The following is a 13,773-nucleotide window of genomic DNA, read 5'->3' as shown; positions in this document are numbered from 1 at the left end:
GCAGGTGGCAGATTCAGGAGTAGGCACTCTTCAGTCTCTCCCTCTTGGTCTCTGTAGGACCGTGTGCTGAGGGTGCAGCTGGGCTCTGGGACCTCAAAGAAGAGCTGGAACCACTGGGGAGAGGGCTTGGCTGAGCAGAAAGGAGCTGTGCCAGGCAGAGCCCGCACAAGGGGGAAAGGGCTGCCTTGGGCCAGGTTGGAAAACCTGGAAACACAACCACAGGCATCTGAGAACTCACTGTGTGGTGAACAAATGTAGAAATTACTACCAGTATCACAAATGATGTAGGGACAGCTGAAGCATCCATTTGGTGAAAGTAAAATTAGATCCCTGCCTTTTACTTCACACCAAAATAAATTCCAGATGGATTAAGATGTATTTTTTTCTATTTTTAAAATTTTTTTCCCATTTTGAAGGCATACATTTGTTGAAAAAATTTAAACAACTTGGAAAGATGTAAAAGAAATTCTAGTCTTCATGCTTTAGAGATAAGGCTTTTAAACCTCTCTCCGCACACGTGACATCCATATGGAACTATATATAGATGGATGTCGATGGATGGGTGGATTGCAGATTGAAATGTAAGCAATGAAGCCGAGAAATCGTGGGTGTAAAATATTACTTAAATATATGATATTGGGCCACCCTTCTTAAATCCAATACCAAAGGCAAAATGTATAAAGGAAAAGAGGGATAGATTTGACTACATAAAAATTTAAATTTCTGCACAGAAAGCATGATAAATAAAATTAATTCAAATGATATATAAGAAAAAATATACAGTGTGTACGAAGGCTAATTCTCTTACATAAGGAAAGCTTTTATAAGCCCATAAAGAGCCAGTTCCCCAAAATAAAGCCTGCTTTGCTCTGTGCCTTCACGCCCTCTGCTCCTTTTCTCTGTCTGGCTTGAGGTTTCCCAACCTTGTTCTCTCAATAAGTCCTTTCCTTCCACTTTGCTGCAGGTGTCTTCTCCTCCAGGAAGGCTTCTAGCTCACCCCTCCTCCTATAACTGACAATGTTAAGGATCCGGGCTCTGAGCTCCTAAGCAACCTGTGTTTGCCCTGCTCACCACACCAATTCCCAGGAGTGGAGCTATTTGCTGCCAGTCTTGGCTCAGGGTGGCCTGATTTATCTCTGAGTGTCTAAGGGCTCAACACGTGTACGTAGATGACTGGAAGAGAAGGGTGGTGAGGATGTAGAGGAGAGACACAGATTTAGTTTGGTACGGGGTGTGAGGCAGGGGTCTAATTACAGTTGTTACCAAATATCCAGATGTCCCAACACCATAAGTTGAATTCCCCATCATTTTTCCACTAATATGCTAATGTCCTAATCTCTTGCCCACATTTCCAGGCCATTCTCCTTCTTTAGATCGAAGTATCACCACTTCTTAGTTGGATCTTTAGGAGATGAGGCGAGATAATCTCTGGCATCTTAGTTAACTCTGAAATCCCAGGGTCCCTGCTCTGGCGCAGCCTGTGACTCAAAGTGTGACCTTGGGCAAGGCCCTGTCCCTCTGAGCCTGTTTCCACCTTGGTCAGACAAGGATAATTTACATTTCCTGCTCCTTGTTGCCCCGAGACAGCTGGGGACACTGGAGGTACACAGACCTGGTTGTGAATTGTGGTTCCACCATTATGTGTGCCCTTTGTGACTTTGGGCAAGTCCCTTCCTTCCTCTGTGACTTGGTCTCCTCTGCTTTGCAGAACTGTGGGGATGATGAGATGGAGCAAGTAAAGGGCTCTTAGGATTACCATCCCCACCCACCCCCAATGCCATGGTGAGCTCACACAGGACTCTGTTCCCCACAGCCCGGGATGCAGCCTGTGAGTGAGATTGGGCAGCTACCATGCCAGGGTCTTCTTCCTCTATTGGTGCTGGTTCCCAGGGCCACAGCCTACAGAGCCAGGCCTGGCCTCTGCATCTGGCTGACCATGGCACCCGCCCTGGGTTGGGGGAAGGCAATCAACCTGGCTGTCCTCAGCAGCTGGAGAGATGTGGTGTAGAGCAGGGAGGAAAGGTTTGATCACTGTCTTCACATAATTAAAGGGCTGTCAGACGCGAAATGATAATTACAGGAACGATCCTGGATTTGGCGACTTACAGCTTACATCTGTAATCGTGCTGGGGCCTGGCAGTCCTCCTGTGAGGTGGTGGTGATGTCATTCTGTGAACAGAGGAGGAAGCTGAGGTCAGAGGTCCTGAGCGATTGGCCTACAGCCACACAGCCGGTGGGAAAAGGGCCTGGGTGAAAATCCAGCTCTTTTGTGTATTCTCCACTCTGTGGTCATTTGACCCCAATATTTCTTACCCTTTGGCTGGCCTTGTTCTGTGTGGTATCAGAGAACCAGCTGCAGGGGAGCAGTGGAGGAGGCAGATTTCAGCTCCACCTCCCGGGGGGGGGGCGTCGGGGGAGGGCAGTAACTCCCCTGCCTGGAAGGTCAGCCTCACCAGATGCCGTGCATGGGAGGTTTTAGTGGTCTGGGCAGCATGCCGATACTGTCCCCATTTTACAGAGCAGGAAGCTGGGGCACAGAGAAGGTAAATGTCTTCCCCAAGGTCACTCAGTCGTGGCCAGTCTGGGATTCAAACCCAGTATTGCCAGACTCCCTCAACCCAGCCTTCCGTTGTCAGGCTCCATGTCTTGGAAGGAAGAATTTTGAGTCCACAGAAGGACTAGGCAGCATCTGGAAGGAGAAGCCCCTTCCCAGGAGCCAGTGGAGTAGAGTAGGGTGAGCTCGTGTCCTGGAGGCTGCAGACACGCTCGCTGCCTCAGGGCAAGGGGACAGGCAGGGGAGCTCTGCGATTCTGAAATTCTGTAACATTCAGAGTGATGTGTGCAGACTTCAGACCCCATGTTCTGTTAAGGGACCAAGGGGAGGTGCTCCATAACCTTCAGGATCCCTAGTAGTGGGAGGGGCAGCTGTGTGCATTTTGGCCTGGGGCTGCAGTCTACAGTGGCAGGGGCCTGTAGCCAGTGGCAAAAGGCAGCAGCAGAGCCATCCCACCCCAGCGGCCATGCCCATGCTTCCTGTGTGGGGCTGGGTTTGCGGCTGCAGTCGTGCTCTGTGACTGTATGAGCCCCCGCTGCTAATGAGGTCTTTCTCTATGTTCTTCTCTGAACACAGAGGGCTCTGGGGTGGGAGGAACAGGACAGAGACAAAGAAGGGTGAAGAGAAGACATGACCATCCTCAGGAGACAGTGAGGAGAAGGACTGGCCTTCAGGGAAATTGACCCACAATTGCCCAGATTGCTACGGAGGGGCTCCTGTTTCTGGAGGGTTAGGGTAATAATGGAAGGAGATGCAGTGGCCTCTGGGTTGGAGCCTCCAGGATTCTCCATCACAGCAGCCCCCACCTCAGCCTCCATCCCCTCGGGCAGGAATCAGCATCCTACCCCATCCACAGCCAGGGGCCACTCCTGCCCCAGCTGCTCGCCCTGTCTGGTCCCTCCTTAGGCAGTCTCCAGCACACTCCTCCTGGTGCCTACCCCAGGAGCCAGCTGCTCCCTCAGCCCCAGCCCACTCAGCTTTTCTCCTGCTCCCTGAGGGTAAGTCTGGGGCTTGCACGATGGCCCTGCCCACTGGTGGCCCTGAGCACCCCTCTGTTGCCCTGTCTCACATCCATACCTCCTTCTATCCCTCACGCCATAGGTGACCACCACCTTGTGCCCGGCGTGATGCTGGGCCCAGGAGACATAGAGACAGCTCAGGCCATCCCTGCCCTGAGGGAGCTCGCAGCCCAGTGAGCCACCCTCATTATGCGCCCACTGTGTGCCACTTGAAGCCCTTCAGCTCATTTAACAGCCTCCCTCCGAGGGAAGGGCTGTTATTCCCATTTACAACGAGGAGACCGAGGCTCAGAGGGGCCAAGTGACGTGCTGAGTGGCAGAGCCAGCTCTTTAGAGCCCGTGCTCTTTCCATCTCCACAATTACAATTTGATTGAGGGTCACAGTGGTGGGTGCCAAGAGTCTGTGCAGGATGGTCAGGGAGGGGAGACCTTTTGAGCCCTGGAGGGATGGAAAGGCTTCCTGAAGGAGCATCAGGTCTGGCCTAGGGGTCAGAGAGTTGGAGGAGAGAAATCCAGGGAACTAGGCTGGGCCTGGGATCGCCATACTGGGTCCCAGAGGGCAAGGTGGGTTTTGAGGGGAGCTGTTCAGGCTGCCTCCCAAGGGGGCCTGCAGAGTCCAGTCAGTATGCCTGGGTTCAAATCTTATCCCCACTCCTCCCCTACCTGCTGACCCCTCTGACTCCCCTCCACTCACCCGTGTTGAGCCTTTATGCAAATTAGCAAAAAGCACCCATTTTCTAGGACACACCCGCCCGCCATGTGCCAGCAAATCGTCATAATATGCACATTGATGGTCACCATGATGTGAGTGGCACTTCTTAGGGGGCAGTGCACAACTTGCTCAGCCATATGTGGTGGCCCTTCTCTGAGCTTCTGTGCAATGGGGGTAGATACCCCTAAATAAACAACCCCTAGTGTTATGCAGACTGTGAGAGATGAAGGAGGGCCGTGGCCGGGGCATTGAGGCAGCGATCACTGCTCCACGTCTCTGGGAGCAGGGCCAGATTGGCTTGCTAATGGGTGGAGCGGGCAGGCCTCTCTCTGCTGTAATGTGCCCTGACAAGGACCATTAGTGCTATTGGGGCCTCTTTATCAGTGGAGCTGCTCCCCAGGCCACTTCCTCTGGCTACTTCCTCACCTTCCCCTTCCCTTCCTTCCAGTCCCTGCCATTCAGTGTTTTCCTCTGATTGTTCTTAGAGTGACCCCCGCTGCCTGCCTCCCTCTGTGCTGGGGCCTCTTCATCCCCATCTACAGGCTCACTGTGGCCTCCGGCTTCAGCTCCCAGGGCTTTAATCCCTAGGTTGCCCCAACCCCAGCTCATGCACTAGTTCTGATCATGGGGTTCCTGGCTCCTTGTTGCTTAGGCCCTGCCTGCATTCCTTCCATGCCTGGATGCCTCACCCCCAACCACCACCAGCTCTGGTCTTGGCTGGTTCCCAGGAGTGGGAGGTGCAGCCCCTCATTCCTGCCCTGCCTTGCTCCACTGTAAGGATCTGGACACTTGAGGACAATGGCCTTTAGGGCATAGGACCCTGGCTGCCATGGGCCCTCCCGGCCCCTGTGGTCTTCCTGGCCCCCTGTCAGCCTTGCCCCTGGGCCCTGCATCACCCCGGTCACAGGTCGTCTTCCCAGCGCCTACAGGAGGTGCTTTACCTTCCCGCCTCCAGGCTACTTGCCTGGGACCAGACCCATCCTAGGCCGAGGCTCACCCCTCGCCTAGGTCCCTCTCAGAACCTTCTCTGCTGGTCAGAGGCACACAGGCCTTGCCCCTGAGGAGGCAAAGTGGTCTCTGTGGACAGACAGCCATCTAACACTGCCAGCGTGGGCTCTATAGAAGACTAGGTACTTTTTTGTGGGAACTGGGTGTTAAGCCTCAGGGGAATCTCTCCTGGGTGGGTGTACTCATGCCAGGGTAGGAGAAAGGGTGTTTCCTCACCTATCATTTCATTATCAAATCTTTTCAAGTTCCTGTGCCATCTGGAACACGAAAACTGCCCAGATCTCAAGGCATTTATGTATAGCAGGGAGACCGACATGTATAGAGACAGTTCTAGAACTGTGGGGTCTGAGCCATAGGTGAGATGGCTGCATGGGTTACGGAGCTCTGAGGAGATGGGATTCACCCTGTGAGACAGGGGAGTCTTCAGGGAGGAGGCACTCTGGAAGGAGTAGTTTGCCTCATGGAGCAGAGAAAGGTTGCTTTCTAGATGGAGGCTCCAGCTGTGTGAAGGCTTGGGGTCTGAAGAGCCTGTTTGGGGAACCGTATGTAATTCTGTGCATGGGGCATAAAGCACAGAGCTGGCCTGGGCCAGACAGAGTGGGCCCTGACATCTACTGAGAAGCTCTTGCCAGTGGGACTCTCAAGCTGGGGTATGACGTGACCAGATGGGTGTCAGTCTAAAGACATGGTTCACCCTTTGGGAGACTCAGATGTTTAAGCTGGCCTGGGACTCACCAGCTGCACTCTGCAGGGAATGAAGGCTGTTATGAGCAAATAAGAATTTGAGGTGGCAAGACGGATTCTGAGAAGGACTAGTCCTGGGGTGCTGGCTGGAGGGTGGTGGAGAGACGGTCATGTGCAGACCCAGACTGCCTCCATGGGAGGCAGGACTGAGTCTAGGGACTCAGCCATTCTCTGGGTGGCAGCTCCTAGGGTTCGATTGCTCTAGAAGGGCACATGTCCTGCCCTGCTCCTAGCCAGGGTTTCCCTATTCCTGACCAAGGCTGGGCTTTGCTGTGCCTGGAACTGGAGCTTGTGCCATTCTGTGTCCAGCTGGGGCAGACACAAGTGGCCTACTCTCTGAGAAGCCACCACCTCCCCAAGCCTAAACCTGCTAGAAATACTGGGCCTCAGGGTGTCGTCACCTTTGCATCTCTGTTTATGTACGAAGTGAGGCTAAGCAAGGCAGTCGGGCTCTGCACATGACAAGGAGTGGTGGCAGCTGCTCACCCAAACATGAGTCGCCCAACTGAAGTGACCCACCTGGGACAGGAGGGTCACCCAGGCACCAGCCCTCTTGCCCAGGGCGAGGCACGGAGCAGGCCCTTAGTGGGTATGGAGTCATGGACCATTAGGGTGTGAAGGCCTTTCCTACGTTCTGGAGAGGCAGAGGATGTCACAGATACACTGGTAGTGTGCTGAGTGCTCACCAAGCCACCTGACTTGTATTATCTCATTTAATTCTCCATCAACCCCATGGCATAAGTACTAGTATTGCCCTCATTTCATAGAGGTGAAAACTGAGTCACAGAAAGAATGAGTACTTTGCCCAGAGTTACACAGCTTGTAAGTGGTGACAGGGATCTGAGGTTCCTGGGCAGACTGATGGTATCTTTGCATGGTGTGGGATGGAAGGATTCTGGACAGTGAGAAGACTTTCCCTCCTTCCTGCCCAATCCTGCATGTGGTCATAAAGTACTAGTAGAGTGGAAGTCGGCTCAGTCTCTGTCCTTGCAGAACCCACACTTGTCTGGGGGACACAGTGAGCAGGTCATGGTGTGCAGAGCGTGAGTTTAGACAGAGGGATGCCAATGCTGCGGGCGCACCGCGGCAGGCACGAGGGTAGCAGGGTGAATCCAGGGAGGCTTCACAGAAGCAGTGATATTTGAGCTGACTTGAAAGGTGAGTGGGAATGTTCAGGGAACAAGCCCAGAGGCAGTGGCCCTTCCAGGTTGCAGGAACTGGTTGTGTAGGTCGAAGCTGGAGAGGTCAGGGGGCCACACTCCTGCTTGGCTATCAGTAAGGAGCCATGAAGAGGTTAAACTGGGATGGTTTAGAAACATAGCAGGGAGCTCAGACGTAGGGCTGCCTCTGTGACTTTACACCCTCAAGGGAAATGTAGTCTTGGTTCTTCCTCACACTGACCTCCCCTCAAGGGCTGTTGACTTGTTCTGATGATCTCAGCAGTTTCCCGGGATGCAGGATATTCCAAGCTTTTTGTGCTTCCAAGATAAGGGGACGGATGAAAGCAGGGAGAAATTGGAGGGCCAGGAGGAAGTGCCTGCAGACGCCTGAGCTGGCCCCTCAGGAAACAGCAGTGGTGGTGTCAGTGTCCCCCGCCACCCCACTTCCACCTGGCTGGAGACAGGGGTATCTGGCCCAGTGGAGGCAGCAGAACATGGCACTTCTGTACTTCTTCCTTAATCCTCTGCTAACTTGCTGTGTGACCTGGGCAAGTCACTTGGCCTCTCTGGGCCTCAGTGTTTTTCTCGGTAGCACGGGGTAGAGGTGGAGAAGAAGAGTGCCTGCTTTGTAGGCATGTGTGTGAGGGATGTGACTTCACAGACTGCCGATCACTGTGCCAGCGCCAAGGGAGCCGTCCCCAGAATAGGGAGAGCAGTACACGATGGAAAGGCTGCAGACCACAGTAAAAAGAGCACAGCCCCAGGGGGGGAGGCCCTGACTGCCCCTGGCTCTCCACCTTTCTGTGACTTTGGGCTTGGTGATGGTGGACAGGTCACTTCCCCTCTCTGAACCTCAGTTTCTCCCAGGGTAAAGAGGGCAGGAATTCCTGCCTGGCAGGTTTGGCTACAAAGTGGGAGGGAGGAGGACACATTCTGGTGGGAGGCAGCCTAAGGGGCTGGCCCCTGACCCACTTAATCCCCTCCTCCTCTGCTCTTCCAGTGGGAGCGCCTCTGGTTCCTGCTCCTCACCTTCACCTTTGGCCTCACGCTCACCTGGCTTTACTTCTGGTGGGAAGTCCACAATGACTATGATGAATTCAACTGGTGAGTAGGGGCAGTGGGTGGGGGAGGAAGGGGCCCAGAGCTGGGTATCCAGTAGCTGGGACCTGGGGGCTGGAGTTAGAGCCTGTCTCCCAGGTTGGCCCTCTGAGCTCTGCCACCAGCTCTCTGTGTGGCCCTGGGCAGGGCCTACTCCCTGGGAGCCTCTGTCCTGCTCACCTCCAGGGCTTTGGTGAGGAGGCTGGTGTGGGACTATAGTGGGAAGTGCCAGAGGTATGGGTGAGGATTGTATCGCAGACTGGCAAGAAAGAGGAGGAGGAAACAGAGAGATCCATGCCCCGAGGGGAGTCCTACTGCGAACTCAGGGAAAGCTTCCTGGAGGAGGAGGCATGGGAACTGGGCCTTAAAGAATGACTGGGATTGAAACCTGGGGAACTTTAGCTGCTGGTCTTGGAGACCCCTTGGTGCTTGCATTGATGATTCAGCCTGCATTCCTGGCCTCCTGAAGAGGTGGAGGGGAGCCTCAAAGAACAAAGGCTTACAGGAGCCAAAGCCCACTGGGGAGACACAGGGCATTCCTTCCCGGTGCTGTGACCATGGACAATAGGAACATAAGGCTGGGCCAGGGCTCAACCGGGGCAGGGCCCTTTGGTTACCCCCTTTGTATACAAGAAATCTACAGCTCAGAGAGACCAAGGTCTCTGCAGAGGAGATAGCCCTGGATCCTAGGCCTCCTAACTCCCTTAGCTAGGCCCTGGGCAGGGCTGGCAGATGAGTTTGGGGACAGCTCAAGGTCCTTTGTGGGTACCTCAGATCCAAAGGCAGGGCCGTCTGAGCCACTTACCTGGGTACAGGAGGGGCACCTGTTTTTTCCTCTTCGCCATTCCATCGCCTGCCTTTTGCTAAGCAGTGGAGAGGTCATGGGAGGAGGGCAAGGACCCAGGGTTCTACTGACAGATAAGGAAACAGGCCCAGGTCACACAGCCAGTTGGGGACAGCTGGGGCTTGGAAGCCTGGCTCCTCACTCCCCATCCATTGCTGTTCCTTCCTTTTGATCAGATGTTCAGGTCAGCATGGCGATGAGCAAGTCTCTGGTGCTCTCTAAGCCTCTCCTTCTGTAAAATGGGGTAACTCTGACCTCATCAGGTCTTTCTGAGGATGAACTGAGATGATGGACACAACAGGGCTCAAAGCTCTACCTAAACATGAGGGCTGCTTCCTAGGAGACCACATCTCTAGCCGGAAGGCAGCATGATGTTAGCATTTGGGATTTTCAGGACCCTGGGCTTCTGACAGGCTGTGGTGTTAGGATTCTGTGATGATCCTGGGACTCTGCTCATGGAGCTGGGTGTCCACTTTTCCCCGTATGGCACCAGGCTGTGCCTCTCTTATTAATGAGCACAATCAAGAATATGCTGCGGTCCCACCCCTGCCCTGCGGCAGCCAAGCAAGATGAGCCGGAGCCCTGGCAGAGTCCCAGAGGTGGCCTCTGGCCTTTATTAAATGCCATAAATCAATTATTCATCTTTGCAGATGTCCAAAGCATGGGCACTGTCATGAGTAAATGGGAACGTTCCCTACTGGCCCTCAACTGCAGACCCAGACAGTTCCTCGGAACTGGAGTCTGCTGCCTAGAAGATCATCAAGTCTACCCCCATCATGTACAGATGGGGAAATGGAGGCCCAGAGAGGGTGAAGACTCATTCATGGTCACACAACCAGTTAGTGCCAAAAACATGAATTGAGGACAGACTGAAGAGACCAAGGCTTAGAGAGGTTAAGTAGCCTTTCCAGCGTCACACAGCAAGAAGCAGACAGATCTGGGACCGGGACTTCAGCCTGCCTGACTGTGTCATGTCCATGGAGCTACCCACTCTACCCAGAGAGTGAGCTCCCTGTCACTGGGAGTTTCAAGCAGAGGATGGGTTCCCGCCCTGTTGGGGTGGTGGCAAGGGGAGGCCTGCCTGGCACTTAGGGATGCCTGGAGACCTGCAGCTCCTTCAGCCTGTCGCCTCAGTTTCTTGGAGTCAGTGCTGGGGTTCAGGATGCCCCGGCCCAGTCCTGATAGTCTCAAGAGTCTCTGGGGACCGGGCACAATGACTCATGCCTGTAATCTCAGCACGTTGGGAGGCCAAGGCGGGCAGATCATGTGAGTCCAGGTGTTCAAGACCAGCCTGGACAACATGAAAAAACCCCATCTCTACAAAAACTACAAAAAATTAGCCAGGTGTGGTGGCATATGCCTGTGGTCCCAGCTACTCGGGAGGCTGAGGTGGGAAGATTGCTTGAGCCTGGGAGGTGGAGGTTGCAGTGCAGTGAGCCGAGATCACATTTTACCCCATTCTGTAAAATGGGGTAACTCTAACCTCATCAGGTCTTTCTGAGGATGCAATGAGATGATGAACATAAGAGGGCTCAAAGCTCTACCTAAACATGAGGGTTGCTTCCTGGGAGACCACATCTCTAGCTGGGAGACCACTGCACTCCAGGCTGGGCAACAGAGTGAGACTCTGTCTCAAAAAAAAAAGAATCTCTGGGAATAATTCAATTCATACAGTAAGAGGATGTGAGTGACAGCCAGGGATCAGCACTGGATGAGGAGGGCCAGGGAGGGCCGTCTTGGCTGTTGCTGTCCTCAAGGACTCCCTGCTAAAAGTGGTCACACTTGAGAGACAAATGGAACCAGAACATCTTTCAGGAATAGTTATCAGGAGCAAGTCTTGCCCCTCTTCAGGCCTCAGTTTCCCAACGGTATGGTAAGGTGAGTGCATTCAGTGATCTGCCAGGCAGTAGATTTTCCCCTGGACTCTGAGGATGAGGGCCAGGGAGGGCAGATGCCCCATGGGTTCCTCCCGGTGTCCCTTCCCAGCTGTCTGGCAAGGTCCCAGATGACAGCAGGCTGAAGCTGCCCAGCGCTCAGATTTTCTGATGACCTTGAACAAGTTGCTGCCTCTTTTGAGCCTCAGTTTCCCCCTTTGTACAAGGAGGATGTGAGTAGTTCATTCTTTTTTTTTTTTTTTTTTGAGACAGTCTCGCTCTGTCACCCAGGCTGGAGTGCAGTGGTATGATCTCAGCTCACTGCAAGCTCCGCCTCCCAGGTTCACGCCATTCTCCTGCCTCAGCCTCCCAAGTAGCTGGAACTACAGGTGTCTGCCACCACTCCTGGCTAATTTTTTGTATTTTTAGTAGAGACGGGGTTTCACCGTGGTCTTGATCTCCTGACCTCGTGATCTGCCCGCCTCAGCCTCCCAAAGTGCTGGGATTACAGGCGTGAGCCACCGCGCCCAGCCGGATGTGGGTAGTTCATTCTTTCTGGAGAGCATCTAAGCAGTATCTATCATGCCCCTTAAAAATTTCAATCCCACCAGCCACAGTGGTATGTGCCTATAGTCCCAGGTACTGGGGAGGCTGAGATGGGAGGATTGCTTGAGCCCAGGAATTCAAGTTCACCCTGGGCAACATAGCAAGACCCTGTCTCAAAAAAAAAAAAAAAAAATTCATTCTCTTTGACCCTATAATTGTATCTGTAGGAATCTATCCTAAGGAAGTAATCAAAAATACAGAAAGATATGTATAAAAATTTCATTTTTATGTTAATTTATAATTGTGAAGAATTAGAAACTATTTCATGCCACTAGTAGGAAGCTGGCTACATATGGTACATTAATTCAGTGGAAAACCACGTGGCTATTTTAAAAATCACATTTTCTCAGGATTTTTACTGGCATAAGTAAATGCTTGTGTTGAGAAGACAGTTGGCCAGGTGTGGTGGCTCACGCCTATAATCCCAGCACTTTGGGAGGCTGAGGTAGGAGGATCACCTGAGCTCAGGAGTTTGAGATCAGCCTGGGAAACATGGCAAGACCCTGCCTCTACAAAAAATACAAAAAAAATTAGCCCGATATTTTGGTGGGTGCCTATGGTCCCAGCTGAGGTAGGAGGATTGCTTGAGCCCAGGAGGTCAAAGCTTCAGTGAGCCATGTTCGCATCCCTGCACTCCAGCCTCAGTGACAGAGACCCTGTCTCAAACAAACAAACAAAAACAAAGAGAGTTTATTGAGTAGTTACCATGCATCTCACCTCACTTCATCCTCATGAGACCCCATGAAAGGCACTTTTTATTTATTTATTTTATTTATTTATTTATTTATTTATTTTTGAGACAGAGTCTCACACTGTCGCCCAGGCTGGAGTGTAGTACTGCGATCTCTGCTCATTGCAAGCTCTGCCTCCCAGGTTCACCCCATTCTCCTGCCTCGGCCTCCCGAGTAGCTGGGACTACAGACGCCTGCCACAACGCCCGGCTAATTTTTTGTATTTTTAGTAGAGATGGGGTTTCACCATGTTAGCCAGGATGGTCTCGATCTCCTGACCTCGTGATCCGCCCGCCTCAGCCTCCCAAGTGCTGGGATTACAGGCGTGAGCCACCACACCTGGCTTCAAAAGGCACTTTCTTATCCCCATCCTATAGGTGAGGAAACTAAGGCTCAGAGAAGTCAAGTATTACATTCGATCAATTCTAAGACCCCCAATTTTCACATCTTAACATTGAAGTTGAGATGACAGTGACAATCGATGGCATCTTAGAATCAGTGAAGCCTGTCCTCCACAAGGTCCTACAAGACAGTGAAAAGCAGAGACGAGAGGGGATGTGAATCCAGCCTGTGTGCCTCACTCCAAAGCCTGTGCTCCTGACCGTGTTGCTTTGTGCAGCGGGGTCCTGGCTTTGCTGTTTATACAAACATATAGGCATGGGGGCGGGGGAACCCACAGGAGGAAGATCCAGCACAGCCTTGGTAATGATTACTTCTGGCCAATAGGATTATGGGGCATTATTTTCTCCTTTACATTTCTTGGTCCCCGGGTGGCTGCCATGAGCAGGCATGGTAGAGCATCAGGCAGACGCTGAGCCTTATTGCTAGGTGGGCACAGCCTGGTCACTGAGCCCAGCCTGTCGTCTGTGTGGAGGCTCAGACCATCCTGATTCCTGGGCCAGGTAGTGGCCTGGTGGAGGTCTGACCCCTGCCCCCTCTCCTCCTGGCAGGTACCTCTACAACCGCATGGGCTACTGGAGCGACTGGCCCGTACCCATCCTTGTGACCACAGCTGCTGCCTTCGCATACATCGCTGGCCTCCTGGTACATGGGGCTGTTTTGGAGGGCAGGTGGCCCTGCTCCCAGGGGAAGGGATACTGGCCCTGTGCTGGGCTGATGGAGGGTCCCACCCTGGTATAAAGGGGAAAGCTGTATTTGTAGGAATATTGTATTTGTAGGAATGTATCCTAAGGAAGTAATCAAAAATACAGAAAGATATGTATAACATTTTCATTTTTATCTTAATTTATAATAGCGACTAATCAGAAGCTATTTCATGCCACTAGTAGGAAGTTGGCTACATATGGCACATTAATTCAGATTTTGCCCAGGGCCTCTCGGGCTGCTGCACCTGAGGCCTGGGTCCCCCAAAGCAGGAGGTCCTCTTGCTTTTGCCCGTCTCTCTAGGCTGCCCCTTCCTGGA

At 52.8% G+C, this 13,773-nt stretch overlaps 1 protein-coding gene across 17 annotated transcripts in view, besides 4 other annotated features; it reads left to right on the top strand.

Moving 5' to 3' along the window:
• The window catches only part of GDPD5 (glycerophosphodiester phosphodiesterase domain containing 5), a 91,302-nt gene that overhangs the window by 54,855 nt on the left and 22,674 nt on the right, over positions 1-13,773 (top strand). For 16 of the 17 annotated variants that reach the window (XM_047427654.1, XM_047427645.1, XM_047427653.1 and 13 more), the window contains 2 exon segments: positions 8,198-8,301; positions 13,301-13,394. In XM_047427654.1, coding sequence (XP_047283610.1) covers positions 8,198-8,301; positions 13,301-13,394 — 198 coding nt within the window. 17 annotated transcript variants of the gene reach the window in all.
• Positions 2,702-3,348: an enhancer, noted in NCBI's record as "H3K27ac-H3K4me1 hESC enhancer chr11:75178784-75179430 (GRCh37/hg19 assembly coordinates)". NCBI's record gives its function as "activates a minimal SCP1, AML or CMV promoter by ChIP-STARR-seq in naive H9 embryonic stem cells {active_cell/tissue: H9 hESC(naive)}" and the evidence as "EXISTENCE:reporter gene assay evidence [ECO:0000049][PMID:30033119]".
• Positions 3,349-3,996: an enhancer, noted in NCBI's record as "H3K27ac-H3K4me1 hESC enhancer chr11:75178136-75178783 (GRCh37/hg19 assembly coordinates)". NCBI's record gives its function as "activates a minimal SCP1, AML or CMV promoter by ChIP-STARR-seq in naive H9 embryonic stem cells {active_cell/tissue: H9 hESC(naive)}" and the evidence as "EXISTENCE:reporter gene assay evidence [ECO:0000049][PMID:30033119]".
• Positions 4,265-4,937: an enhancer, noted in NCBI's record as "H3K27ac-H3K4me1 hESC enhancer chr11:75177195-75177867 (GRCh37/hg19 assembly coordinates)". NCBI's record gives its function as "activates a minimal SCP1, AML or CMV promoter by ChIP-STARR-seq in naive H9 embryonic stem cells {active_cell/tissue: H9 hESC(naive)}" and the evidence as "EXISTENCE:reporter gene assay evidence [ECO:0000049][PMID:30033119]".
• Positions 9,774-10,276: an enhancer, noted in NCBI's record as "H3K4me1 hESC enhancer chr11:75171856-75172358 (GRCh37/hg19 assembly coordinates)". NCBI's record gives its function as "activates a minimal SCP1, AML or CMV promoter by ChIP-STARR-seq in naive H9 embryonic stem cells {active_cell/tissue: H9 hESC(naive)}" and the evidence as "EXISTENCE:reporter gene assay evidence [ECO:0000049][PMID:30033119]".

Source organism: Homo sapiens, chromosome 11, assembly GCF_000001405.40.
Source record: "Homo sapiens chromosome 11, GRCh38.p14 Primary Assembly".
NCBI lineage: Eukaryota > Metazoa > Chordata > Mammalia > Primates > Hominidae > Homo > Homo sapiens.
The sequence above is the reverse complement of the archived record's forward strand: the minus strand, read 5'-3'. Positions and strand labels throughout refer to the sequence as shown.